This window comes from Homo sapiens, chromosome 2 (genome assembly GCF_000001405.40).
Source record: "Homo sapiens chromosome 2, GRCh38.p14 Primary Assembly".
Lineage (NCBI taxonomy): Eukaryota > Metazoa > Chordata > Mammalia > Primates > Hominidae > Homo > Homo sapiens.
The window spans coordinates 227292229-227306620 of record NC_000002.12 but is presented as its reverse complement, the minus strand read 5'-3'; the positions used below and the strand labels follow the sequence as shown (position 1 = coordinate 227306620).

The 14392-nt window shown below is 40.5% G+C and overlaps 1 protein-coding gene and 1 long non-coding RNA gene across 9 annotated transcripts in view; one reads left to right on the top strand and one right to left on the bottom strand.

Moving 5' to 3' along the window:
* COL4A3 (collagen type IV alpha 3 chain) overlaps positions 1-14392 on the bottom strand; it is a 150169-nt gene that overhangs the window by 8172 nt on the left and 127605 nt on the right. For 4 of the 8 annotated variants that reach the window (NM_000091.5, XM_005246277.4, XM_011510555.2 and 1 more), the window contains 10 exons: positions 13304-13430; positions 12051-12131; positions 11559-11657; positions 11305-11352; positions 8762-8947; positions 7809-7939; positions 3511-3583; positions 2691-2762; positions 2477-2602; positions 1538-1636 (listed from right to left, as the gene is read on the bottom strand). In NM_000091.5, the coding sequence (NP_000082.2) occupies positions 1538-1636; positions 2477-2602; positions 2691-2762; positions 3511-3583; positions 7809-7939; positions 8762-8947; positions 11305-11352; positions 11559-11657; positions 12051-12131; positions 13304-13430 (1042 nt within the window). Of the gene's footprint in view, positions 1-1537; positions 1637-2476; positions 2603-2690; positions 2763-3510; positions 3584-7808; positions 7940-8761; positions 8948-10094; positions 11353-11558; positions 11658-12050; positions 12132-12420; positions 12879-13303; positions 13431-14392 lie in introns of those variants that run through there. The other 4 variants (XM_006712245.4, XR_001738601.2, XM_017003295.2 and 1 more) reach the window with 4 other exon arrangements.
* The window catches only part of MFF-DT (MFF divergent transcript), a 104113-nt gene that overhangs the window by 18544 nt on the left and 71177 nt on the right, over positions 1-14392 (top strand). The window contains exon 2 of the long non-coding RNA NR_102371.1: positions 966-1161. This is a non-coding gene — a long non-coding RNA (MFF divergent transcript). The remainder of the gene's footprint in view (positions 1-965; positions 1162-14392) is intronic.

The following is a 14392-nucleotide window of genomic DNA, read 5'->3' as shown; positions in this document are numbered from 1 at the left end:
CCAGGGACCTTGAGTGGTTTTTTGAAATTAAAAATAGGCCACATCCAAATTCTCCGGTCTGATGTCTTACTTGAAAAATCCAAGTTGCCATGGTTTTAATATATTGGGGAGACACATTTTTCTCTTTTCCTAACCCCTGCCCTCATTCAGAGGGAGCTATAGTTGGCCCCAAACAAAAGATGTCTCCTCATCTCTGCACAGGAATTGGGAAGTGATTAGCTGAGCAGGGCAGGAACTGGAAGTGAGCTTTTATACAAATGTGTGATATCCAATGCATTTCTGTATCTCCAAGAAAGGGGCCAGGGCTATCAGTTTATGCCAGTGCAGTTTGACTCTTAGATCCCTTTGTCATTCTTGTGAGGCCTCCATAGCATTGAACTGTCTACTTGCTAATTAGTTCTCTACAAAATTTATATTGCAGTGCCCTTGCTCTTGCTGTTGCCCCATTCTTAGGGCATTAAAGCCTTGGTCATTAAAATTTTTAAATTAATAGAATTCTTAATAAGAATGGTTTATCACTTCAAAAACCACACTTTAAGGAAAGTTGAATGATTAATAGCACTCTACTGTGCACCTATGACAATATTAAATCACATGTAGTTATGCAATTAGTATTATATTAACATCATATTTGAATTTTTAAAAATTTAAGTCTATAGTCTTTACCATTTTAATATAGTAGATCTGAGCATGATATATGTCAGTAAATTCAGAAAGCACATTTAGAATTTTTTCTTGCTTTAACAAAGTCAGCAATCCTAAAAATAGAAGATTTGGATATCGAGGTAGTTTCCAGAAGAGTGCTTTGAAACATCTGCAGAAGGTAGATGTTGATCCAGGTATCAAACTGACACATACAGCATATGTTCAGAATAAAACACTATACTTAAGAGTTCCCTTTTCAGGACACGCATGAATTGTTGAATTCTATTCAAGAATGGCTTTTTTTTTTTTTTTTGAGACAGAGTCTGTCACCCAGGTTGGAGTGCGGTGGTGTGATCTTGGCTCCCTGCAACCTCCACCTCCCAGGTTCAAGCGATTCTCCTGCCTCAGCCTCCCAAGTAGCTGCGATTACAGGCACCCACCACCATGAAGAATGGCATTTTTAAAAGATGGCTTTCTTAAAAAAGGATACTCAGTTGCTCTTCTACTCATACCAAGGTAATATTTTTCTAGCTACATACTTATGTACTGCTCCTATAAATAATTATTAACTAACAACTCCTATAAGTTATTAAAAACAGGTATTGGCCTTTTTGAAAGAACACCCATAGGACTTATTAGTTCTATTTGTCCTCAGGCTAAACTGTGCATCAGTTTGGAGCCCATCTGACCAGCTAAGAGGTCGGAAAAATACTGTGTTCCAATAATTCTTGATTCTCATCTTCCAAATGAACATTTGATCCTTGGCCTTTGGTCTGATCTGAACAACATAAACTCAAAGGCCTAGATAACTCATATAGTCACCCACTCGAACAAGACTTCTCTGTATGTCGAAATAGCACTTCTTCGGTGAGGAAACAAGCTGGGGGTTTACCTGGCTCTCCTTTAGAACCTTTGTTGCCTTTTTCTCCAGCTGGTCCAGGAGTTCCTGGTTTTCCATCCTTGCCTGGCTTACCTCTTGGCCCACAGGGTCCTAGGCAAAAACCAACATTGTATTGCATTTTATCATATAGGATGAAAAGTAAGGTGGCCAACCATCCCGTTAACCCAGGACTTTCTCAGTTTCAGGAATGAAAGTCCTGCATCCTGGGAAGATCCTCAGTCCTGGGCAAGCTAGGATGATTAGTCACCTAACTTGTTAGCCCCACTTCCCAGAAAATAAGACTCTCGAAAATGAACTATGAGGATACTAAATGCAGCAGTTTAAAATTGTGCTGCAATTTTTATTTATGTTCTTCCAGAATTCACTATGTCCCTGAATTGATCAAACAAATAAGTAATATCTTTATCTCCCAGGTGATTCAGACAAACTTAAGGCATAATCATTCCATTCAGAAGCCTATTACGATATGCTGTGCATATGTAGAGGGGTTAGTTCAATTTCCAAACACCAGTATTTTGAAAAGATTTCTAAATCATTTTTTCCTAATACTTTGCTGTACCAAATGTTAGAAAAGTATAAATTCACAGAACTCAGGTATATTCAGACAATCATTTAGAAATAGAGCCCCGAGACTGACAGTTGTCAGAGGAGATAGACATACCTTTACCTTAATAAAAAATAATAAAAAAAACATGCTGCCCTAAAGTGTATTTGTTCAAGTTATACTATGAACAACTGCTTTCAATAGATTCCAAGGTCTTTTATTTGCTGGTCAAGGGTAAAATGAGCTCAATCCTAAGACTGATTGTGAAAACCACTATCATGTTCAACATTTTCTGTGAAGTTGTATCAGCTGTTTCCAAAGCAGTTTACAGGTATTTTGGTTCAACCACTTCCTAGTGATCCAAGTCAATGCTGCCAGTCCCACACCTAGGTTTCCAGGTGGCCCTGGTGGCCCAGGTTCTCCCTGCATCCCTGGTTCTCCAGGTGTGCCAGGTGGCCCTGGGCTTCCTGGAAGGGAGATAATCTTAAGTGTGCCAGGGTCTCCACGTACACCTGTTGACATAAACATAAGAAGAAGATGATGGCCTCACGGATGTGTTACCTTTCTTCATTGACAGCAATAGTAAGGACGTTTATTTACCAGGTGGTCCTTTTGGCCCAATTGGTCCTGGAGGTCCAATGGATCCTAGAAATCCAGGATTACCCTTTTCTCCTAAAAACAAACAAAGACACAGTGTGATTCCACTTAGATCAATGGGTTTCCTAGTTCTTCAGGTTGATGATTGACTCTAAGGACAAATACTAGAAGTGTGCCTGGAGGCTCTGTCCTATGGGTTCTGTCACAAGGGCTACAATTTCATTTTGTTCACATAGGTTTTGGCATGTCACTGGGACCCAGTAGGTCATGCTTAATGAGTCTGTAAAGAAATATATTCCAGAAGTAGGCATTAAGAACTTGTATTTTAACATTGAAGGGGAAGGGTCCCTAAGAGTCCACTTTTTGAGTTCAGAAACCAATTTGATATTTACGGTAACATACAAAGTCACATTAAAACCTGTTCTACCATGTGGTGAATTATATTGCTTGGTTGTCATAGTTACCTACTTTCTCAGCTTATTACTCTAGCTTTACTAATAGCCTAGAGTTAGTTACGTTAGGAGTTCTTTTCAGCACATAGAGAATATTTGCTTTGATGTGAACTAATAAAGTGGTAAGACTTCTCTTCCAATCACAGTCTTTTACACAAATAAAAGAAGGTTACCGAGAGCCATTGATCTGAAGAAATACTCTATTTCAAAGAATCTTGAAATAGTGTAGTGGAGCCTTCCTACTTCACTCGTATTGAGGTCCTATTTGTACTAACCCCAGCTGTCTGTACTTCAGCAAACACTTGTGTGCCCTAAAATATGAATTGAGGTTATGGTATTTGCATATAAAGAGCAATGCACAAAAACAGTACCTTTCACGCCTGGAAACCCCTGGAATCCAGGATCACCTCTGGGTCCTGGAAGACCTGGAGTACCTGGTGCTCCCTATATTTCAAATAAAGGGAGCAGAACCAAAACAAATTTTTAAAATCACTCAATTCACAGCAGTTTTTTAAAAATGCAAATAGGGTATAATATTATGTTGGGTGAGAATAAGCTGAAGTTAGCAGACATCATTTTTATCTTTCAATCAAGGCTATAACTCCTCTGGCCACTTAGAACCTTTCCTTAGGACTATCGTTTTAAAAGTAAAACAAAAGCTTCCCTTAAGCCCAACAGCAAACATACCTTCTAATGTTGGTGTATGTTGTTTTAGTATTGGATTCAACTGGATATTCTGTGTCCTAAATGGAGTAGCCCAGTACTGCCAGAATGATTTTTTTTTTTTTTTTTTTTTTTTTTTTTGGAGAAAGAGTCTCGTTTTGTCCTCCAGACTGGAGTGCAGTGGCATGATCTTGGCTTGCTGCAACCTCTGCTTCCCACATTCAAGTAATTGTCATGCCTCAGCCTCCCAAGTAGCTGGGATTATAGGCATGCACCACCACACCTGGCTAATTTTTGTATTTTGAGTAGAGACAGGGTTTCGCCATGTTGGCCCAGCTGGTCTCGACCTCCTGACCTCAAATGATCTGCCCACCTCGGCCTCCCAAAGTGCTGGGATTATAGTAGTGAGCTACCATGCCTGGCCCAGAATGAAAATTATAATCTGTATTTATAATTGCTGCAAAGACAACAAAACCGTTGTTGAGTTACAGCACCTAAGCTTCATTCTCACTAAGCTAGCAGAGCCATAAATTACACTTGATCATGATGGTAGGAGAAGTAATGTCTAGGGATGGGAGTGTACAGGAGTTGTCAAGAGAGAGTATTTGACAGGCATATTTGACAAGGATGCAATAATCTAAGCAGGAACGAGGTGCTCTCTTCTTGTGAGGCTCACATGAACTGGTCTTATAGCCAGGAGATGCTCAAGCAAAGCCATAGAAGGAGGGAGGAGGGAGCAGGGCTTCTGGAAAGAGCTATTTGTCAAAATGTATGCTAAATCTACTTTCATACTGTCCATGTGAATTGAGATAATGCTATTACCTGAGAATAATGTGCTTTGAAGGTCATGAAAAGTGCCAAGGATAAAACTGGCCTTGAACCAGCTATCTTTGGAGCAAGAAGACCAAAGAAGGAACCATCTGATTGCTTGGATAAAGTGTTGTTAAAAAAGGAGAGAGACAAAACAGAACCATCTGGTCAAGGACTTGCTGGCTTCTGATGTCTGCCTGTTCTCTTGAGGCTAAGGTAACTATGAAAAAGGGCATGTTGCCAGGGTTATCCCTGGCAGCAGGAGGGAGCTGTTAAAGGCCCCAGGCCAGTTGAGACATCCATCAAGAAATATCTTTCAACTGTAAGTATAGAAGCCTATGAATGACCACGAAATCACCAGAGGAGTTAAGTAAGATCATGTTTCCAAACCAAGCTTTATATATCCCAGTGTCCTTTGGAAGGTCTTCAGATGTAATCATGGATCAAATTGGCAACTTTCAAAGAATCATGGAGAACATGAGAGACACCTACAGACTGAAGATGGGCAAATATGTCATTTTTCAAAAAAACTTTTAAAGTTAGATTCTGGAAATCAAATACCAAGAGTACTTAAGAGCGATTCCTAACAATGAGCTATGGCAAAGCACCTCATTACGCATCACTGATGAGGTTAGTAGAGGACAAAATGAGTTATACCATAGATGTTCTGTATTTACATATGAATTGTCAATGTATTTACACTGACAATTTACATGGTAGAGAGAGCTGTGCCATGTGCCATGGTAGCTCTCTCTACTATATTTTTGTGGACAAAATGGCTGCTGCATAGAGCAACAAGGATAGATTTAAAGCTTGGTGAATAGCCACATCAAAAGGCAGTTCATTAAGGGATTAATTCCAGCTGGTAGAGAGCAAACTCTGGGCACAAAGAGCTGCTTTGTTAAGTGTTTCTTGGATCAGCAAGTGATGTCCTCCTCCCTCTTCTTAGTCTAGAAAACCAGACCTCCGTTACCTGACTCCTGCTTAGCCCTCCAGACTCCTCCCAAGGTGTCCTCATTCCCACCTCAGCTCCAGTAATAGAGTTGTGTGTGTGTCACTCACACACACCCATTGTCATTTTGCTCAGAAAGCTCCTTTCCTCCACCCGACCCATACCCCGGCTTTTCCTATTTTCTTGGATAACTCCTATGCGTCTTTCAAGACTCAGGCCAGGCATCAATCTCCTTGGGGAGGGACCTTTCCTGAACACCTTCCCTCTACAGTCTGGATTAAATACCCTTCCTCTGTGTCCCCACAGCCCCCTGCATTCTTCCTACCACACAGTGTGAAAATGGCCGTCTCTGTGTCTATCACCCTCACTTTATTGTGGGCTCCTCTAGGGCAAGGGACTGTAGCTTTTTGTTTTTCTATCCATTGGTACAGAGTAGACACTCAGTTATGATCCCTGAGTCACATTCATCTATTCAACATCTGTCTCCAAGGATTTGATGTAAACAGAGGGGTCAACTTGTCTAATACGCTGCTAAGAGAAAGCTAGGGACGACGGCTGTGGTGTTGAGAGAGAGAATATGAATTGAGAGATTGCAGGCTTGGGGCACAGGCCTAAATGAATAAGATGATGTCTAAGATTGATAAATGTAAAAGTTCTACACTTAAGTCCCAAATAAACATCAGCAACAACAAGCTAGGCAAGAAATAATGGAGAAAACTTAGTAGCAGTTCATGAGGAAAAGGCCCATGGGCTTTAGTTGATTACAGGCACAATGTGGAGACAGGTAGGTCAGCCCAATGGCCCAAGTGGAATTTTAGGTCTGATTCCTAAAATGGTGATGTTCCGGACAGTAGACCCTTCTGTCCTTTAGCCACTCACTGGGGTATTGACTTCTTACTTCTGGAGGGCGTTCATTCCAGAGGCTATATTTTTTAGGGCGATTGAAACTAGGGTGTATTCAGTATAGAGGCAAGGCTGATAAATAGTTAAACTGAATTTGAAAGAACCAAGTATTTATCCAGGAATAAAATAATTGGAAAGAAATGGCAGTTATTTAGAAACATTGGCAGGCATTTGGGGGGCAGAAAATAAATAGGCATTTACAGGGGAATGCAGAAATCTTCAGAAGCCTGTAAGTAGAGGGAAAAGTGACAATGTCATTTAGAGTGATTCTGAACTCCCAGCTGCTTTTTGAAGATTCCGTCACTGGACTTGTTCAGGGTCTAAATAAGCAAGGATCTGGAATGCTGTAGAGGTGAGTCCCATACAGACCAAAGTTTTGGAGGCCTCTTAGAGGCCAAATCATTCCAACTCTGAAGATTTTTTGATTTTCAGAAACTTCTGGACTGTGTTCCCTTAGGCACACTGCACAGATGCATCAAAAATTGTAAATTTTTGCTGCCTCCAGGCCCATCTGATCTGGCAATTAATTTATAAGAGTATAATAGTACTCTTGTACTAACGATAAGTCAATGTTAATGATATGGTTTGGCTGTGTCCCCACCCAAATCTCATCTTGAATTGTAGTTCCTATAATCCCCACATGTCCTGGGAAGGACCCAGTGGGAGGTAATTGAATCATGGGGGTGGTTTCCCCCATGCCATTCTCATGGTAGTGAGTGAGTTCTCATGAGATCTGATGGTTTTGTTTGTTTGTTTGTTTTGACGGAGTCTCACTCTGTCACCCAGGCTGGAGTGCAGTGGCGCTATCTCGGCTCACTGCAAGCTCCGCCTCCCGGGTTCACGCCATTCTCCTGCCTCAGCCTCCTGAGTAGCTGGGACTACAGGCGCCTGCCTCCACGCCCAGCTAATTTTTTGTATTTTTAGTAGAGACGGGGTTTCACCATGTTAGCCAGGATGGTCTCGATCTCCTGACCTCGTGATCCGCCCGCCTCGGCCTCCCAAAGTGCTGGGATTACAGGCGTGAGCCACCATGCCCGGCCGATCTGATGGTTTTATAAGGGGCTTCCCCTTTTGCTTGGCACTCATTCTCTCTCCTGTTGCAGTGTGAAGAGGTGCCTTCTGCCATGATTATAAGTTTCTTGAGGTCTCCCCAGCCATGTAGAATTGTGAGTCAATTAAACCTCTTTTATAAATTACCCAGTCTCGGGTATGTCTTTATTAACATCATGAGAATGGACTAATACAGTTAACATCAACAATATATGATATAATATACAATATAAGAATAATTATAAGTTGATATTGAATTAATAATGAGTCAAAATAATTATCCATACTCACCAGACGACCTGGTGGTCCCATGTCTCCTGCAGTTCCAGGTGGACCTTTTGGGCCAGGGTGGCCCATAGACCCTTTGTCTCCTTTTATGCCTATTACATGACTCCCTGGAGGTCCAGGGGGACCAGGCGCACCTGAATTCATGAAAAGTCTGTCAGTATTGCCAGCCAGGGAGCTTGGAAGGTTCTATTTATCAGTGATTGTTTCTAATGAAGTATAAACCCTTCACTTAGCATTGCCACAAACATTCTTTCCCCTGGAGCATGTGATGGGATTGTGGTAAAGACAGGAGAAGATGATGCCAGCGAAGCACCTGGCACCCACCAGCAGGATCTGCTTCTCCCCAGTGAGGGTCTGTTACAGCAGGGTCTGTGCCTGCTTCCCTAGAGCCTAGCCCAGCTCTAGGGATTCAACAAATAGAGTTGAATGAATGCATCACTGTCTTTTAGGCTAATTATTTTTTTTTGATACAGTTTTGTTCTGTTGCCCAGGCTGCAGTGCAGTGGCGCAATCTCAGCTCACTGCAGCCTCTGCCTCCCAGGTTTAAGAGGTTCTCCCATCTCAGCCTCCTGAGTTGCCGGTATTACAGGCATGCACCACCAAGCAAGACTGGCTAATTTTTGTATTTTTAGTAGAGACAGGGTTTCACCATGTTGGCCAGGCTAGTCTTGAACTCCTGACCTCAAGTGATCCGTCTGCCTTGGCCTACCAAAGTGCTGGGATTACGGGTGTGAGCCACTGCGTCCAGCCAGGCTCGTTAATTTATTAACTATGCATCCCTCAAACAGGCTACCTTGCCTTGACAACTGCTGGGTATGGGAACCACAGGTAGTGGGGGAATGGAGATGACCACAGGGAAAGAAGAAGCAACAAGGTAACATGAGGAGGAGGTTGAAAACTTTTGAGGTCAAACATGATTTTTGTTATTTTATGCTGTTTAAAAGTAAACCCTTTACCTGGGCTTCCTCTTGAGCCTGGTGGACCACGATTTCCTGTCTGGCCAGGGATAATTGCACCGGGCAGACCTGGTGGCCCTGGGAATCCTTCTATGCCTGTGGGTCCTCGAGGTCCAGCATCTCCCATGGCCCCTTTTCTGCCCGGGAGGCCAGGAAAACCTGGGGCTCCCCTGTCTCCTTTGGCTCCTGCAAAGAAGAAGGCTTAATAAGTTTCTTTAATGCCCATATGCTTGGGTTAGAGTTCTTGACTATCTTTAATAATGTAGGTACTTTGCTTAAAAGTGTTCAGATTCAGAATATATGTTTCTAAAATATATATTTTATAATATATTGCTGGTAAATGCAATATAGAGCTACAAAAACTGAGTTGAGACTCAGTCTGTCTCCAACTAGCTGTCTGATCTTGGCAAAGTCACTTCAGATTTACCTACTATTACAAATTTTGATTTTCTTATTTTAAAAAATGAAGGTAATACCTGTTCTAGCTAATTCTTTCAGATCAAGTGAGATAACATACAGACATAAAAGCATGGTGTAAGCTCTAAAGTGTTATATAAATATAAGCCAGTTATTATCAGCTGATTAACTTAGTCATGTTGACATTGTTGAGTCACTGATAATTCATTAGAGCATAAGAAGCTAAACTGCGTAGCACTGATGTGTGCATTTGAAGTATTATCCAGCTAAATCCAGACAAAGGAGCAACAAAATTGCAGTCTTTATTCTGTCCTTTAGTTAACTTCCCCACACATTCCCCATAATAGGAATACTAGTGGCAGGAGGTTTGGATTTACCAAAGACCCTCCAAAAAGGTCACAGGTTAATACTAATATTTTTCATCTTAGAAAACCTTCAAGAAATTGTGCTTTGACATTCATGAATGAAAAATATTGTATGAATTGCAAATAATGTCTCCCTCTGCTCTCCCATCTCTGTGTTATTCTAGCAGCAGTAAATGGCATGAAAACGGAAGATAGATGTGCAGAAGGAGAGGGAGAAGGAGAGGGAGGCTAATAGCTCAGGGGAGGGCTTGGGGAGTTATTATATAGTAAAGACTTACAATGAAAATAAAATTGATGAATATTGACGATCTAGCCCTATGTCTATTCACATCCTTTAGCTTTTTAATGCCTGTAATTTATGCTTTTAAAAGAAAGTGCTTAGATGACTTCAGTTCACTCCAAGCTTTGTAATACTGTATTTGCATGGCAATGACCTGAAGTACCAAGATGGCTTGGATTATATATTTCATGTTCATTAAAATGATTACATGCTCTGCAATATGATTTCTTTTTAGGATTTGGGAGAATAAACTAATTAAAAGGATTCATACCTTCCAAGTCTCAATGAACTCTTCTCCATATTTAGTTATCCTAGAGGGATTGAGGTGCATAATCATTCACTTACATAATTAGGCTATTTGTTAGTTTTAAGGCTTTTAAACCTAAGGTATGACCGTTTTATACCAAATTTTATTTCCAGTTAAAAGCTAGTGTTCTCATTCCAAATGGTTAAACTGTGAGTTACCCTGGGAACATGAAGAGCAACTCTCCTTTTGACCAAAATTCTAAAGCTACACTGTGGAACAGGAAGAGCCTTCATCCTCATTGGGAAAGGAGAGGTCTGAGAGATGTGGGAAGACTGAGCTCAACCGAAAGAACAATCAAACCAGTAAGAAACAAATGGGAGAGAACAGCTCTTGTCTACTTTTACACTTTAACTGTTTTGTCAAGAGGTGGTTCCTGCCCAACTGAGTTTCTCATTGGCATCCAGCTGCTCTTTGCTGGTTTGCGTGAACATCAATAACTAGAGCCCTTCAGTGTGTTAGGCCTCTTTGCTAATGAAATGCTCCCATTCATAGGACGCGTGGCTGAGACGGGTCAATGAAATGTGCAAACAATCTGATGTTTCTCCTGGAAGGTTTGACTAGAAAATGGAAAAGAGTTAAAAGAAGCTGTTTATCTTGTAAAGCACTGACATGAGAAATCCAGATCTGTGGCCTGCCAAACAAAAAACTTGTAAATACTCTGAATGACATGTTCAGTAAACTGCCATGTCTGAGATGTTGAGAGACTCTCTGGGTCGCCTTTAATAAACAATAGCATGGACCGCAAGCTGGATCTGGGGGTTGGAGTCAGACCTATGAAGATACAGGTGGGAAAGGATTCGGATTACTCCTGTGTCTCAGAACAGCAGGGACAGATGCTTACTGAGAACCCATCAGTTCCACCTTCACCTTTTAGGAGGTGGTATCTTTAAACCATGCTAACAACAGCAAGACATATACAGAAGAATCCTTTTTACTTTTCAAGACTTTCTTAGTAGGAAATTCCAAAATTGAATCACAGTTTCTAATTCATTCCATTTGTTGTGATGGTAATAATTAAACATTTTAAATTGAAGACCAAGATGATAAATATCCTGTATTACTATTGGAACATCTTTAATTCACTAGGTTAAGCTTACTTTATATTTCAAGCATATTCAACTGCTTTCTCTCCTTGAAAATGTGTACATTAGGACAGGGAAGAAGAACTGCTTACCTTGAGCACCAGGGTTCCCTCTTGGGCCTGGAGGGGCCCTCAATAAACCTGAAAGAGATAATCTTGGCATGTTAATAATTGGTCAATTTCATTACATTATATGTCTATGAGAAAAGTTTAGTACACACCGAAAACATGTTAAAGATAATCAGTTCTATCAGAGAAAAATCTTTAGAGCAGCAAAGGATTACACTGTTACTAATGATTCTATCCAAAATAAAACTAACGGATCAAAGATAATGAGCAAGTTGTACCCGTTTCTCCCTTTTCTCCGGCTGGACCAGGAATTCCATCACGTCCTTGGTCACCTCTTATACCCATTGGTCCAGGAGATCCTGGAAATCCTGGAAGACCTGAAAAAAAAAAAAAAAACCCAAAAACCCCAAACTATGGTATACAAAAAGAGGATTTATTTCTTGCCAGTGGCCTAATGGGAATACCAGGGAGATGTGTGGAATTGTGTTAAACAGGCTGTTTTTCAGAACTGTAGCTATGTGAAGCTATGTTCCCAGGGAAAACCACATACAGATTACTATTATCATGAGGATTATCAGTTTGGAATAGGTTGCCAAATATTTGAATTAAATAGATAGAAATATCTAACCCCATTTTTTTTGCATTTTTGTCTGGATACTGAGTAACTAGGAGCTACCTTCTATAGAGTAGTAGGTTTACAGAAATCCAAACCTCAGGAGAAAATGTGTCTCCCACATGAAAAGGAAAAAGAGAAAGTACAAAAATGAAACCTGGAGGGCCTCTGATTCCTGGAGGGCCCAGGAGGCCTTTGATTCCTTTAAAACCCAAATCACCATGAGGACCTGGCTTTCCTGGAAATGAAGAGAGGGGAAGGAAGAAAAAAGATCACCAAAAGATAAATGATTACAACAGTGACTGAAACGGTCTGTTTTTATAGTCAACCATGCTCACGCTGGCCTTAAGGAAGCTCTCTTGTTGCAAGGTCACCCCATGATTTTGTCCAGGCTGCAATTTTCCTGGAGAACCAGTGCAGAGATGTGTCTAATCACTTTCAAAGATGTGTGTACACCAACCACAAGCACCACTCAATATGCGATTTTATTTTAATTGCGAGTTAAATGCAAATTTATTGAAACTTTCTGTATTTGAACAGGTAGTTTATTGTATTTAAGTAAGACCTGAATCTGCAACCCGATAGTTTCACAGTTGTTTTTAATAAAACAAAACCCTAAACCTGAATTGTAAGCTAATAAGCCAGAAAGCCAAAATTCAATCCAGAAATGGGTTCGAAAAAGAGTCACAGCACAGTGTTGTAGTTTGAATTGTGTTGTCCCCAAATTCATATGCTGAAGTCCTAACCTTCAGTACTTCGGAACATGACTCTGTATTTGGGGATAGGGCTGGTAAACAGGTAATTAAATTAAAATGAGGTCAGTAGGGTGGGCCCTAATCCAATGTGAGTGGTGTCTTTATAAGAAAAGAAGATTCAGACACTTGGAAAACACTGGAAGAAGATAGCCATCCACAAGCCAAGAACAGGGGCCCCACAAGAAACCAACGCTGCCGACAGCTTGATCACAGACTCGGAGCTGCTGGAACTGTGAGAAAATAAACATCTGTAGTTTAAGCCACCTAATCACTTCTCAGCCTTTTGGCTAACATCAAGTGTAGTTTAAGCCACCTAGTCTGTGGAATTCACTATGGAAGCCTGGACAAACTAATACAAACATTATGATTGTATAACGGCTAACATTTTGTATCCTTGGGCTGAATTTGTTGAGGCAGTTCTTCAAAAGTGTTTTTTATAGGAACATATTTTTGTATTTCAGTCCAAATGGGCTGATTAGTAAAATTGGGCTCTCTTAATGAATTCTCTTAGTGTGTTAGAATTTGAAGTTCAAAGTTGAATAAAAGCAACTGCAGCATAAAAGTATAAATAGCTTTCTGTTTACCACAATGATTTCAGGAGGGCTATACTCTGAGTAATGCTTCCAGCTTTTAGAATTGTAAACTCAAGCCTTACCTGGGAGGCCAGGACTTCCAGGACTTCCAGGGGCTCCCTCAGGTCCAGCAGGCCCCAAATGTCCAGGTGGGCCAGGTTGCCCCATTTCTCCTTTCTTTCCCATATCACCCGGCAGTCCTGGATCCCCCTTAAATGTAGTCAAATACCTTTAAAATTCTCATATAAGCAGGATATGTGGTAAGAATTCAGCATAAACTTTATTCACTAATTTTTTCATTCATTCATCAATTCATATTAGTATCTGCTATCTGCCAGCACTGTGATAGGTGCTGGGAATAAGACGGCCACATGGTTTATGGGGCCCAGTGCAAAATGAAAATGCAGTTTCCCTTAAAACTTTTTAAAGTGAATTTCAAGACAGCAACAGCATAGCGTCAGACCAAGTGTGGAGGCCCTTCTTAGCACAGGATTTCTGTGACTGCACTGGTAGCATACCCAGGAAGCCAGCTTTTACCAGGATATAATGGTAACCTATATAGATTTATGACATACACAGTCCCTGCCTTCATGGAGCTTCAGAGACCAGTAAGGAGATAGATATTAAATAATCACACAAATATATAGTTACAAATTGTGATGAGTAGCTGGGAGTAAGAAAGAAATAGACTAAATAAAGATGTATCCTACAAATGCTATGCATGCACATATGTCAATCACATGTTTTAAAAACCTTCCAATGATTTAGTGTTCATTAAATCTTCACTTCAGTTTTACGACAAACCCGAACATATAGGTTTGATAAAGATTTACAAAATTTCTATGGTAGCCAATTAAAATATACTACTCTGTTACTCTCATTTTGCTGACATGATAAAACCAGCTCATTTTGTGTTCAATGCACAGTTCTAAAAATTTATTCTGGTGGTTACCTGTGAAAACTTTAAATCTAAATGAAACTATCAGTTAATTGAGTGTGAAGTCAAATAGGATTTTTCGTTGAGCAAATATCTCAGTGGAAGCAATCTCAGGTTTTCTGAGGACTTAATCTAAATATAAAGAACAAAGACATTTGTCTGTGCTCCAAGTAGTAAACAGTTGCTTTCTTGGGTCTGTGTAGTGTCTAAATTTTTTTCTTGTTTTAGCAGTTAC